The 13,508-nt window shown below is 35.3% G+C and overlaps 1 protein-coding gene across 11 annotated transcripts in view; it reads left to right on the forward strand.

Moving 5' to 3' along the window:
• The window catches only part of FAR1 (fatty acyl-CoA reductase 1), a 63,679-nt gene that overhangs the window by 27,640 nt on the left and 22,531 nt on the right, over positions 1 to 13,508 (forward strand). For 10 of the 11 annotated variants that reach the window (NM_001441242.1, NM_001441245.1, NM_032228.6 and 7 more), the window contains exons 3-4: positions 4,010 to 4,185; positions 11,593 to 11,772. In NM_001441242.1, coding sequence (NP_001428171.1) covers positions 4,010 to 4,185; positions 11,593 to 11,772 — 356 coding nt within the window. The remainder of the gene's footprint in view (positions 1 to 4,009; positions 4,186 to 11,592; positions 11,773 to 13,508) is intronic. The other variant, NM_001441246.1, reaches the window with a different exon arrangement.

Raw genomic sequence — 13,508 nt, forward strand, 5'->3', positions numbered from 1 at the left:
GGTGGAATTCAGGGATAAGTAAGATACGTTCCTGGCTTTTTAGACAGTTTTTAAGAGGGAAGGAAGAGGGAGTGATAGACGTGTCAGGAGTAGATAGGAACAGATATTTAAGCTGATGTGCTGGCCAGAATTGAGGGTCTGAGTAAAACATGAAGAAGACTTGGGCATCTTCTTCGGGGTCTTCAGAGCAGTGCTTCTAAAATTTCTTCCACACTAAGCCTAAGAGAAGGAGTATTTTCTACTTAGAGCCTGAGGTTTCATTGAACTTCAGTGGTTTAGCCTGAACATACAGCTATTATTTTCAATAAAAAAAAGTTTTTTCCCCAAATATTTGACTTAACTTGATACTCCATAAAATTATGTAATTTTATCTTATGCCTTCAGTTACCTCCTGGCATATCCTACCACTTAATCCTAAAGCCATGTATTCTCCATTATGTATAGCATTGCTGGTGAGTCCATAAAAATGAGTCCTTTTTATGTCAAATAGCAGTGAGTGTACACTTAAAGTTAGTAAGAAATTTTAGGTATGGTCTACTCTGATTTTGAAATAGGTATAAAGAACATAAGGCCAAAAGCACATACCACCATATGGGACATTGACTTATAGCAGGGTTTCTCAGCTTCAGCACCATTGACATTTTGGGCTGGCTAGTTCTTTGTTCTGGAGGCTTGTTCTATGCATGGTAGGGTTATCAGCAGCATTCCTGGCCTCACTCACTCTTGTGACAACCAAAAATGTTTTTAGACATCACCAAATGTCTGTTGGGGACCAAAATCACCCCTGGTCAAGTACCATGACTTATGGGAATGTCTCAGGTAACAGAAACTCCATTGGGTGATGAAGATTGAATTAAAATAATTGATCATGGCCTGTCACGGTGGTTCATGCCTATAATCCCAGCACTTTGGGAGGCCACGGCTGGTGGGTCACTTGAGGCCAGGAGTTCAAGACCAGCCTGGCCAATAATGGAGAAACCCCATCTCTACTAAAAAATACAAAAATTAGCCGGGCGTGGTGGTGCATGCCTGTGGTCCCAGCTACTCGGGAGGCTGAGGTGGGAGGATTGCTGGAACCTGGGAGGCAGAGGTTGCAGTGAGTTGAGATTGCGCCACTGCACTCCAGCATGGGTGATGAGTAAGACCCTATCTCAAAAAAATAAAAAATAAAATGAAGTAGTTGATCATGAAGTAAATTCAGGAAAGAATCAAGGATATTAAAAAGGCATTAGTAAACGTAGTAAAGTAGGAACTAATTGGGTACTAGTGGGTTGAAAGCACCAGAAAAGATGGTATTGAGTAAAGAGATGTTGGCCAGAGAAGGGAAGAGTATCACATTTAAGATCTAGCAAGTTTAAGAGCAGCATGATCATGTCCTGGTGGTAGTGGTATAGATAACTGATATTAAAGGAAATTAAAGGTCATCAGCAATTAGGAGAATGAAGAAGTACGAATCAGGGTGTTAAAAAGTACTTTTTTAGTCATTCCTTAGGTTCCTTTTCCTCTGCTTGCCCCATAAGGATTGATATTCTTCAAGTTTCAGGCTTAGGCCTTGTTTTCTCACTAGGTCCAGTGAGATGGTTACTCAGCCTTCCTCTGTTTTATGTGAGATGAATGGATGTCCTTTAAATTAGATTTGGATTTAGTTTCATATAGTTAGGATCTTGTGTCCTTATTATTGCTGTTACCTGGATAAACTCTTTTCTACTCCCAGGGCTTCAGTTACTACCTGTATGTGGTTAGTAAAATCTATGTTGATAGTCCAGCTCTCTCCCTGAACTTAGACCCACAAAGCCAGTCACCTTTACTAGACCTGTCTTCTGGGGTGTCATGCAGGCACTTTACACTTGACATTCAGAAGACTGAATTTGTATCTCCAAAACAGTACTTCTTTCTCTCCCTGAGTTCATTAGTCTACTGAATTTATTCACTTAACAAATGTTTAAAGTCTTTATCTTGCCAGGCAAGATCTGCTCTCTTGGACTTGTATGCTGAGCAAAATAGATATGGACCCTACCCTAATGAAGTTTGCATTCCTTATCTCTCAAATTCAGTCATAAGCCAAAATGACTACATCCTGAATGTTACATCCTGAATCTCATTGCCGTTATTTTGATTCAGACAAGTAAATATCTTGATATGGGCAACGACAAGAGTGTCCTAAAACTCATTACTGCCAAAGGATTTTTTAAAAATTATGAACATGCTTGTATCACCTCTCTGCTTAAAATCTGTCAATAGCGACCGGGCTGGTGGCTCACGCCTATAATCCCAGCGCTTTGGGAGGTCAAGGTGGGGGGATCATGAGGTCAGGAGATCGACACCATCCTGGCTAACATGGTGAAACCCCGTCTCTACTAAAAATACAGAAAAATTAGCTGGGCGTGGTGGCGGGCACCTGTAGTCCCAGCTACTCTGGAGGCTGAGGCAGGAGAATGGTGTGAACCCGTGAGGTGGAGCTTGCAGTGAGCCGAGATCGCACCACTGCACTCCAGCCTGGGCAACAGAGCAAGACTCCGTCTCAAAAAAAAAAAAAAATCTTTATCAGTAGTTCACCATGACTCCCAGATAAAATTCATCTTTTTAATGTGGCTTAAAAGGCACAGTTATCTGGCCTTTCTTATCTCCATACAACTCTAGCTGCTTTTCCTGCATACTCTATGTTCCAGGCTGACTGAATTATTTTTAATTTCCCAAGCATATTAATGCCTTCTGATTTCTAAGGGGTTATACTGCTACTTCCTCTGCCTGGAAACACTATTATTCTACTTTGTAATTTCAGGGCCTTCCTCCCTCACTTTTGTCCCTAACACACACACACATTCTGTTAAATGTCATTTTCTCTGAGAAGCCAGCTTGTGTGTGGTCTTTTAAAGCTGGGTTAGTTGTTTCTCCTATGCAGGCCCGTAACACTTACCTGTTATTGCTTAACACTATATTTTAATTGTACATTTACTTGGACCAAAGGCCATTTCCTTGTGTCTTTAGAATCTAGAAGGTGCCTGCCTGGCTCATATGAAATACTCAGTAAGTTTTTATTTTTTAAATTAATATAAGAAAACATTAATATTCAAGTCATGTGCTAGCAGTGGAAGTAGCAGTAGGAGCTATCAGTAGGAGCGGGAAGACTGTTTATACTAAAGTCATCCAGGAATGTGGAAGTGAGCACTGATATGTTATATAGACTTTCTTCTTAGGTTAAGAATCCTGCTTAAACTGCAAGTTTGAACTTCAAATGGAGAGTCAAAGTGTGATAGAGCAGTGACCTAGAGGTGGCATCAGTGTTTCTCTGTCAAATCTGGGATAAAAAGTTAAACTTGACTCACAATTGAATATGCCTTTAAACTGTAATCATTTTGTGATCTGATTGTCTAGCAAAATTTATTCCTTTGGGTACACTTAAAGAATGTTTAATGTTCAGCTTAAATCCTATATATGTAATACTTCTGAAGTTTGTTCAGTTTCTGGTTTGCGTTTGCTTACCAACTTTTTCCTTGAACATATTGACTTTGTTTTCCTTTTTAAAAATTTGTTCTAAGATTTTAGGTAGAATGTAAATCGTGTTTTTTTCTAATCTACTAAAAGGGAATAAAATAAAAATGAAGTGAAGTGAAAAATTAAGATCTAGATTTTAGAAATCTGAATGATCATTTTAAACATTGTCCTAATGTCTATATTGCTGAAGTCTATTCTGAGGGGTGATACAATCTAATCAGCCAAGGCATGGACAGTTCAAATTCAACTTTGTGAACTACCAGCTTTGTGTACTTAGCAAACTCCTTAACTGCTCTGAGTCTCAGATTCCTTATCTGCAAAATGAGGATAATAGCGTGGGCCTCATAGGGTGTTTTCTATACAGAATAATGGCAATTAAGAATAGCAACTTTAGGAATTGTATAGTTTAAGTTTCTAAAAAAATAGTCATCCTTGGTGGGAAAAAAATGGTGATAATGAGTTTTAGAAAGTGGAAAAATACTGCTGTAAAATAAATATTTTTCCCTCTTGATAGCTTTTTGACAGATTGAGAGATGAAAATCCAGATTTTAGAGAGAAAATTATAGCAATCAACAGCGAACTCACCCAACCTAAACTGGCTCTCAGTGAAGAAGATAAAGAGGTGATCATAGATTCTACCAATATTATATTCCACTGTGCAGCTACAGTAAGGTTTAATGAAAATTTAAGGTAAGTACAAGTAATTATATAATATTTGAACTTCAGTATAGTTATTAAAAAATCTCATTTTAATTCTACTTTTTAGTCAATTTGTTTTGAATGTGATTTGATACTATTTGCCTATGTTAACTGTGGCTTTCAGTGTCCTACAGAGTGTTAAAAGAATTCTCTTCTTCTTCTCAGTTTAAAAATCTTGGATAACTAATACATGTTTATTGGAAGAAGTTGCCATGAATTTAAACATGCAACAGGGAAGAGGCAAAAAGTGGAGTAGAAGAAAACTTAGTCTTAACAACTAATAGTGTTTGTCTTCTCTTTCTTCAGAAGCCTATACCCCAGCAGCTTTATTCTTCTAATCTACATCATATCCATGTGAAAATAAACAAAATTAGGCTCAGGTTTTACAGGATAAGGAAAAATTGGTTATAAATTTAAATCACACCTTTTTATTTTCAAACTTTTGCAGTAGTGCTAGGGGCAAGGTATGTTGGACATAAATTTAATTTAAAAAATAATTTAGACTTCTTTCAAGATTCCTGTTGCAAGAAAAAGTTAAGACTCTAAATGTCCACTATTCTTAAAAAAATCTAATGAGTATGCATTTCAAATAATGGTTCTGAATTCAGAGCATTCTTTTTGACAGTGTGTCAAAAAATACAGTTTTTATAATGTTAATCTAATTGTATAGTCTCATGCCAATTAAAATGGTGTAGACTTGGTATAGGTTTCAAAGCTACTTGAAATGTAAAATGTTGTCTTTAAAATGTTTTAAAGATAAATAACTAAAAGGAGGATATTGAATGCTCTAACAAAGAAATGATAAGTGTTTAAGATGATAGATGTGCCAGTCACCCTGATTTAATTACTATACATTGTACGCATCAAAACACCGCTATGTATCTCATAAATATGTACAGTTATGATATGTCAATTTAAAAAATAAAATACATTTTTAAAAGTTTAAAAAATTGAGTTCTGAGGCTGAGGTGGGAGGATCACTTGAAGCCAGCCTCAGCAACATAATGAGACCCTGTCTCTATAAGCAAAATATTTTAATTAAGAATTAAAAAAATTAAAAATTAAGTTCTGATTACAAAAGGTTTGATATTATTCCCCCTATTGTCTTTATCTAATATGGAAGTATAAACGTCAGTCAACATTATATAAGGTGACAGTTCAGTGCCAAAGCATTACAGTGTGTTTTGCCTGTATTCCAGGTGAGGGCACTGTAATAGTTCCTTAGATCTCTGCAGTAGTCCTTTATGGGTTTTCAGTGTATTTTCTCATTAATTATTTTATTCCATAGTCACCTTACCTACTGTAATATTATAGGGAAATCCATTGTACGCTTGAGGAAGCTGAGGCAGCATTGTAATGGAAGGGCTATGAGCTTTGGAATTACATACATTAGTTCTAATCTTGACCATATCATTCATTTACTGGTGAGTTTGTATAAGTTATTAACCGCCTTAAGCCTCAGCTTCCTGATTTATAAAATTGAAGTAACATTTCTCAAAAGATTATTTTTTTTTCCTTCAGGAAATTTAAGTGATGTCTCAGTTTGACTGTCCATGGCAGGAAATCTGAATCTGTAGCAGTTGCTTTATTTATTTTTTAGCTCTTTCTATGCAGCTGACAGGTAAAATATTGTGCAGCCATTATGTGTTAATGATTCAAAGGTGACAAAAGTATGTTATTAGGACTATAATATGATCTTATTTTCATAACATATATGTGTAGATGTATTTATGTACATGTCTTTCTATATTTGCTGATAATACATTTATCTTTGAATGTTGCAGTTACAGGTAGGTTTTTAGTCTTACCTGTATATTATTTTTTCTACTATGAACATGTGTTAATCTTCAAATAAAGGTGTATACAAATGACTTTTAAAAATTATTTTTAAAAGTAACACCTATAAGAAATCTTAAAGGGACTGATACCCTCATCAACTAACAAATATCCTTATTTTTTACATTTAAAATTTTGTTGTGTGTGTATATTTTTGTATATAGGTCTAACTATTTGTTTTTAACTAGCATTTCCAAGATTGTGAATGTGGTCTCTAATTTTTAGTGATTTATCTTTTCCTAAAATTCATTAGTGTGAAATGGTCAGTAAAGTCGATTTTTTCCCCCATAGTTCTGGCTTTTATTATTTCCTTCATAGACAAAAGAAAGAGTTCACATAGCTTTATGAAGCTTAGCATGTTTTCATGAAAAACATACGTAGATATTGGCTAATGGTAGTATAGTCTTCATTGACTTAACGAGGAAAGTTATATGCTTTGAAAGGTGGACAGGAAACATTGATTAGGGTAAAACTCATAAAGGGAAGCTTTACAAGGAGGACCAAAGTACAGCACTTTCAGGGAACTTTCTTTCTGTCCCCCTAGGGTAAGCAAGGCTACCATTAATGAAAAGGACATCTTCTCGTTATTATTTTCTTCTTTTACTAGAGATGCCATAGCAGAAGGCATCTTATGTATTACATTGTTTTTCTTTTCCTTTGTCAAAGCATCTATGTTCACTGACCTAGCCCTTGTCATTACATTGAAATTATTTCTGGGAAGCAATTTTAATGGATGTTGACTTCCAAGTGGTGATAGGACATTAGGTTTGGGTCAGACACTCTATAATACTCCAGGCAGGCATATAACAACTTCGTATGAAAGAATTACTGTTTGTTTTTGTTTTTGTTTTTGTTTTTGTTTGAGATAGGGTCTCACCTTTATCGCCCAGGCTGAGAGTGCAGTGACACAATCATGGCTCACTGCAGCCTCGACCTCCTGGGTTCAAGTGATCGTCCCACCTCAGCCTCCCTAGTAGCTGGTACTAGAGGCATATGCCAACACACCTGTCTAATTTTTGTGTTTTTTGTAGAGACAGGGTTTCACTAACAGTTACTCTTTATAACTACTTGTTAAGTTAACCTACAAATAAAAAATGGCATGAAGCTTTTACTGTTGGGGGGAAGTTTTCAGATGTTACTACAACATTAAGCCCAATACCTTGGGAGAGAAACCAACATAAATTGCACACAGATCTTATTTGCAAAGTGCATATGGTCTAGAGGCGATAGGATATGCAAAATAACCATAATGTAGGATAGAAAATAAGGATGTATTAAGGAGCACACATGAAATCCTATTAGAGTTAAGAGAAGGTAGATAGAGCTCACTTGTTTTCAGATGTGGTGGTTCCTAAATCTTGAGACAGGAGAAAAATAGATAGGCTTAGGATTCATAAGGAAATACTGACAAAAAGTGTGGGGAGGGCTGGGCGTGGGGGCTCACGCCTGTAATCCTAGCACTTTGGGAGGCTGAGGCAGGTGGATCACCTGAGGTCAGGAGTTCAAGACCAGCCTGGCCAACATGGTGAAACCTCATCTCTGCTAATAATACAAAAATGAGCCGGGCATGGTGGCACACGCCTGTAATCTCAGCTGCTTGGGAGGTTGAGGCAGAAGAATCACTTGAACCTGGGACGTGGAGGTTGCAGTGAGCCAAGATCATGCCATTGCACTCCAGCCTGGGCGACAAGAGCGAAACTCCGTCTCAAAAAAAAAAAAAAAAAAAAGTGAGAGGAGAAGTGAAGATAATAAATGGAGTAACTTAAGTAGTTCATCATGGGATCTGGCATAAGGGAAGGTACTAGCTGGTATAAGGGAAGGTACTAGTAAAGGAAGTGCAAGTAAGACAGGGTCACTAGAGTTGAGAGTAATGGAGAGGCAAGAAACTGGAGAATGTGAGGACAAAAACCAGGCTGAAGGGAGAGATGGATGGACAGATGGTGTGGTTTGCGGAAAATTCATAGTACAAAATTTTAGAAATAGAGCAATTCTGAGTGATAAAACCCAAGGTATGAATATGAAAGATTTTCAGAAAGGAATGGAAGTTAAGATTGATGCTTAGAAAAGATCAAGAAACTATTGAGTTTGTTGGGCATTGATTATCAAACTTTAGAATGTATTAAGAATCTTAAGAATTACTGGAAAGTGTGTTAAAAATGCATATTCCTAGACTGCACTTGCCAAATTTTGACTTTTTAATTTTGGAATCATACTCCAGAGTTCTTTTTAGCAAGAGCCTTAGGTGTTAGTCACTGTTGCACCTTGTTTTGCCCCTTTAGAACCATTGCTGTCAGAATCAGCTTTGGAGACATTTTTTAAATTACAGATGACTGAGCCCCCTACCCTAAGATTGCGTCATTGTTCCCTAAATATCTGTGTCTATATTTTCATTAAGATTAAAAAAAATGGCAGTAGTAGTGATAAGATCTCATCTAGACAGTATTTTCTCAGGGGCAGTAGGGTGGAAAAGAGACTTGTGTCAAAATGGCCTGGAGAACTTATTTAAAATATAGTCTTTCAGACCTCATTTCATGTGTTAAAAGTATCTGATGATGAGGTCCAGGAGTCTGCATTTTTAATAAACTGCTAGTTATATGTTATGCCAAGTATGAGAACCCTGGTTTAAGGTCTTTAGAAGTATTATCAACATAGATTTCTTTGAAAAACCTAAGATGCCTGTAGAAGAAAGACGAACAAGAAAATGTATTGGCACTTCAGGTCGTTGAGCTTTTTTTTCTTTTTAAATTTTTCTTTGAAGTGATTTCCATGTCTTCATTTAGTGAAGGATTCTAATTACAAAGACTTTCTCATTTTGTACCCCCCTCCCAAAAGCCTGTCTTACCGAAGATACATTTATGACTCCATATAACCAAAACAATGAGAACATTATTTTTGTTTAGTACTAAATGACTTCTGATATAACATGTCAGAGTCTCAGTCTGAAGGTCAATGGAGTAGAAATTGGATTGAGGTAAAACACAGTTAGGTTAACTAGCCTGGCAGAGAGATACTAGATGTTACTCACTTGGGTGCAGAATGGCTTCAGGTTTGGGCTCTCAGGTACAGATGCAAAGGGAAAAAGGCAAGGCATAGAAGTGTTCCTCTCAAATTATCCCTTATTTTCGGTGACCTAGAAACTCTGTCACCATCCTCAGGGACATGTAACAGAATATCCTTTGTGTACTTTTCCCAAAACATGGCTCTTCCTGCCCCCATTGTTTTGCAAATGCAAAAGAAAATAGTGCATTCCCTTATAGTCTAGTGGACAGTATCCTCTATGTGAAATGTCTTTCTTGTTGGATTTTCACTTGAACAGATTTTCTCCCTCAATTAAGGAAGAAAAAAAAATGCATCCATGATTTTAAGAACTCAACCCAATTATTTCATTAAAAAAATTATTTCTAGTGTGTTTTCATAGGGTCTTGGATACTATTAAATTAAAAGAGAAACTATGGCACAGGACTTTTTTTCTCTCCTGGAGTTACTCCTTGTTCCTGGTGACCCAAAACTTGTCCTGTCCTCAGGAACCTGTAACAGAATATTCTCTGTATTCCTCTCCCAAACAGTACCCTCCCTATCCCCATTGTTTTGCAAATGTGATAGACATCAAAGCACTGCTTCACTTTACAGTGAAGTAGACTGGATTCTATCTATGACATCTCCTGGTCTTTTAAAACAATAGTTGGATTTTTTTCTTAAATACTGAAAATATAAGAATTTTAGAAAGTACTGAAAACTTTTTTTAAAAAATTTCCTTTGAACATTATTTTTCATTATTATAAACATAGACTTTCTAATTTTACTTTTAAAACAATATAGAAAATTTCTGTATTTCTAATTTTTTCCATAGTTATAATTTTAGTGATTTGATGATATTCCATCATGTTGACATACCACAGTTTATGTATTATTCACTTAGAATAAACTTTAAGGAATTTTAGTTTCTTTTTATTTGGAAAATGAGGATTAGAACAAGTTTTTCCTCTGAGTTAATTTCAACAGGTTAACTAGATTAATAAATATACCATTTCTGTAATTCCTGGTACTTTGTCCTAGTTTCCTTCAAATCATTTGTGTCAGTTTGTAGTATCAACAACAGTGTATTACTTTGCCATTTTTGTCACTAATATTGAGTATTTAAATCTTTTCGTTTGTTTGTTTTTATTTTTTTAATTGACAAAGGTATATATATTTTTCATTTACAACATGTTTTGAAATATGTATATATTGTAATGGTCAAATGAGCTAATTAGCATATTCATTATCTCACATACTTTTTGTGGTGAGAATACCTAAAATCCACTCTTTTTGTAATTTTTAAAAATAACAATATATTGATATTAACTATAGTCTATGTTGTACAATAGATCTCTTGGTCAGTTTTTTAAAAGCTGTAAACAGAAGTTTAATAGAAAGCAAATCTATCCACCATCTCATTACCTTAAGGAATATTTGTTGACTGCCTGTTTGGTGACTATGTTAGAAATACTGCTAAATGTTTGCAAGCTATTTGTTTAATTTTATACCAGTCTTAGTAGGTAGGTTTCATTATTGTTCCCATTTCCAGGTAAGAAAACTGAGGCCTGAGTGCTTCAGTTTATGTCCTGATAAGTAGGCCAAGTCAGGATTTGAACACAGGTCTGATTCCAGAGCCTTGTTTTTAATCCTGCTTCAAAAAAATCGTATGTATTCTTTTGGTATTATTCATACAAATGTTTCATATTTTTATAGACTTCAAATAATTATTTTAGTAGCTATATTCTTTCATTGTGATAAAATACTTACTTTATTGAGTCATTCCATATTCCATAGTGAATATTTGGGCTCTCTAGGTTTTTATTAATTACATGATGCTTCATTGATAACTTTTCTGCATATATACTTTTGCTTTTGTGGAATTATTTACTTCAAGTAAATTCCAAGAAGGGAATATATAGATTATTTTGGGGTCTTGCATATGCCTTGTAACAGATGTACCAGTTTTATTATAATATCCCTTTGAATTTTGTAGGGTAGCCTTAGAAAAGTGTTTGGATTGATTGCTACAAAGAGGAAAATAAACATCTTCTTTCTTGATTATATGTTAATATAATTTAATGTTTCTGAGTTTTCTCTGGCTGTATCACCCTTATTAGTGACTCTACGTTAACATTTTAAAATTACTTAACCATTCTATTTTTTTCTCCCTGTGGCACATCCATATTATGCAAGATTATACTTTTAAAAATCAAGATGCAAAATAAGTCTAGCATGACTTAAAAATGTATGCATAAAAGCTAAAGACTGAAATTATCTGTTTGTTCCTGGACAATTATATAATTTTTAAATTTCTACTTTAATTTTTAAGGGCTACAAGGCAGGTTATTTTATAATCAAATTTTTTTAACACAGCTGATAAACATTTAATATGGAAATAAAATACACAAAATCACAGCTAAAGGATAAGTTGTAAAGAAACAAAAATTTCTCTGTCTCTCTACTTCTCTAATGAAAATGATATTTTTAACAGGTAAAATAACATAGCTTCCCAATTTTCTATTGTCACTTTTTCTTTTTAAACAGAGATGCTGTTCAGTTAAATGTGATTGCAACGCGACAGCTTATTCTCCTTGCACAACAAATGAAGAATCTGGAAGTGTTCATGCATGTATCAACAGCATATGCCTACTGTAATCGCAAGCATATTGATGAAGTAGTCTATCCACCACCTGTGGATCCCAAGAAGCTGATTGATTCTTTAGAGTATGTTTGTTTGAAATTTATATACATTTACTTTGATCCCAAAAGAGGCCAAGGCGGGCGGATCATGAGGTCAGGAGTTCAAGAGCAGCCAGGCCAACATAGTGAAACCCCATCTCACTAAAAATACGAAAAAAATTAGCCAGGCATGGTGGCAGGCGCCTGTAGTCCCAGCTACTTAGGAGGCTGAAGCAGGAGAGTTGCTTGAATCCCAGAGGTTGCAGTGAGCCGAGATGGCGCCACTGCACTCCAACCTGGGCAACACAGTGAAACTCTGTCTCAAAAAAACAAAAAACAAAAAAAAAACCTTTGGATTCAAGTCCCTCCCTCTTCTCCTCACCCCACCCCATATACATGTGCGCGCGCGCGCGCACACACACACACACACACACACACACACATACATTTATCTCTTTTCTTCAAAAATTTTTGCATATCCCCTGCATTCTTATTGTATAGATTAATATCTAAATAAATGTTAATGAAGTCAATGTGTAGTTTTCACTTTTGACCAAGTATAATGGTAATATTTGGAGGAAGGCTCCTGAACATCTTATTAGTGATATTAGGGGCTCTCTTTTTCAGGGAATCAATCTTAGCAACCAAGAAGTACCAATGGAGACCCATGACTGCCTGTTTAATAGCAAGGCTCTAATTTATCAAAGGATTCCCCTCACCACCCCCCAGCCATGGAGTATATATATAGAGGGGCCTTTAATTATTAGAGAATCAGAGGAATCATAGTCTTTTAATTCATAACCTTACTTTTTATCTTTCTGAGGACTGAGATCCTGTCAGCAATTGTTACATGAAAATTATTTGTGAGTATTGATAGATAGGGATTAAATGAGGGAGTATATACCATGACCTTATTCTCATTTGCTGCAGCTCAGGCTTTCTCATCAAACAGACAAGGTTCAGACAAGAAAAAGAGAGATCTTTTTTACTTTTACAATTATATAAACATTCCAGTATCCACCATATTTTCATGTTTGTTAATCCTTATATAATATCTTTGAATTTTTTCCTCCTTTATTCTTCCCTCTTTTAGTCTTCTTTCTTTCCAGAGATTCTATCCACTTTGACTGCTTAGTTAACATCTGCTGCTTTCTCCTAAAATAAGCACAGTCTTTTCTTTAAGGCTTTCCTGCTAATATGAGGAAACAGATAGATTGTAAAAAAAATGAGAAATTACCAAGACATTTTCATTGTAATTCCCTAATTTCTATTTTCTCACTCATTTTCTTAGATGGTCCCAAATATCTACTTCATTTTCTTCATAGATCAATAAACAGAAATATTTAATATCTGCGGGAAAAGTTGAGTGTGAAAGTTAATGGAGCATTTTACTTTTTCTCTTACTAACAATATATACAAACATTTGAGAAACTGAAAAAGAACTTGTAAGCTAATGCTGTATCTCCTTTCCTTGCTGCAAAGAAATCTAGCTAACATAATTTTAAGATAACTCATGGGTTTGTTCTGTAAACTCGTTCTAGTAATAAGGCTTACTAGCTAAAGTTTCTCCTGAGTTTAGGCAGGTTTTTTTTTCCTCATGTATCAACTATCCCTTTCATTTTTCAAATCTCATCTCCATGGTGGAATTTTTCCTAAGTTGGGTAGCAATTTCCCTTCAATTTAATTGATGTTCTTTTCCTTTCATATACAAAAAGTACTTCCATATACAGAAGAAAATTTTATCTTGATAATCTCTGTTTTATGCTTTCTTATCAATTAGT

The sequence above is a fragment of the Homo sapiens genome, chromosome 11 (assembly GCF_000001405.40).
Source record: "Homo sapiens chromosome 11, GRCh38.p14 Primary Assembly".
Lineage (NCBI taxonomy): Eukaryota > Metazoa > Chordata > Mammalia > Primates > Hominidae > Homo > Homo sapiens.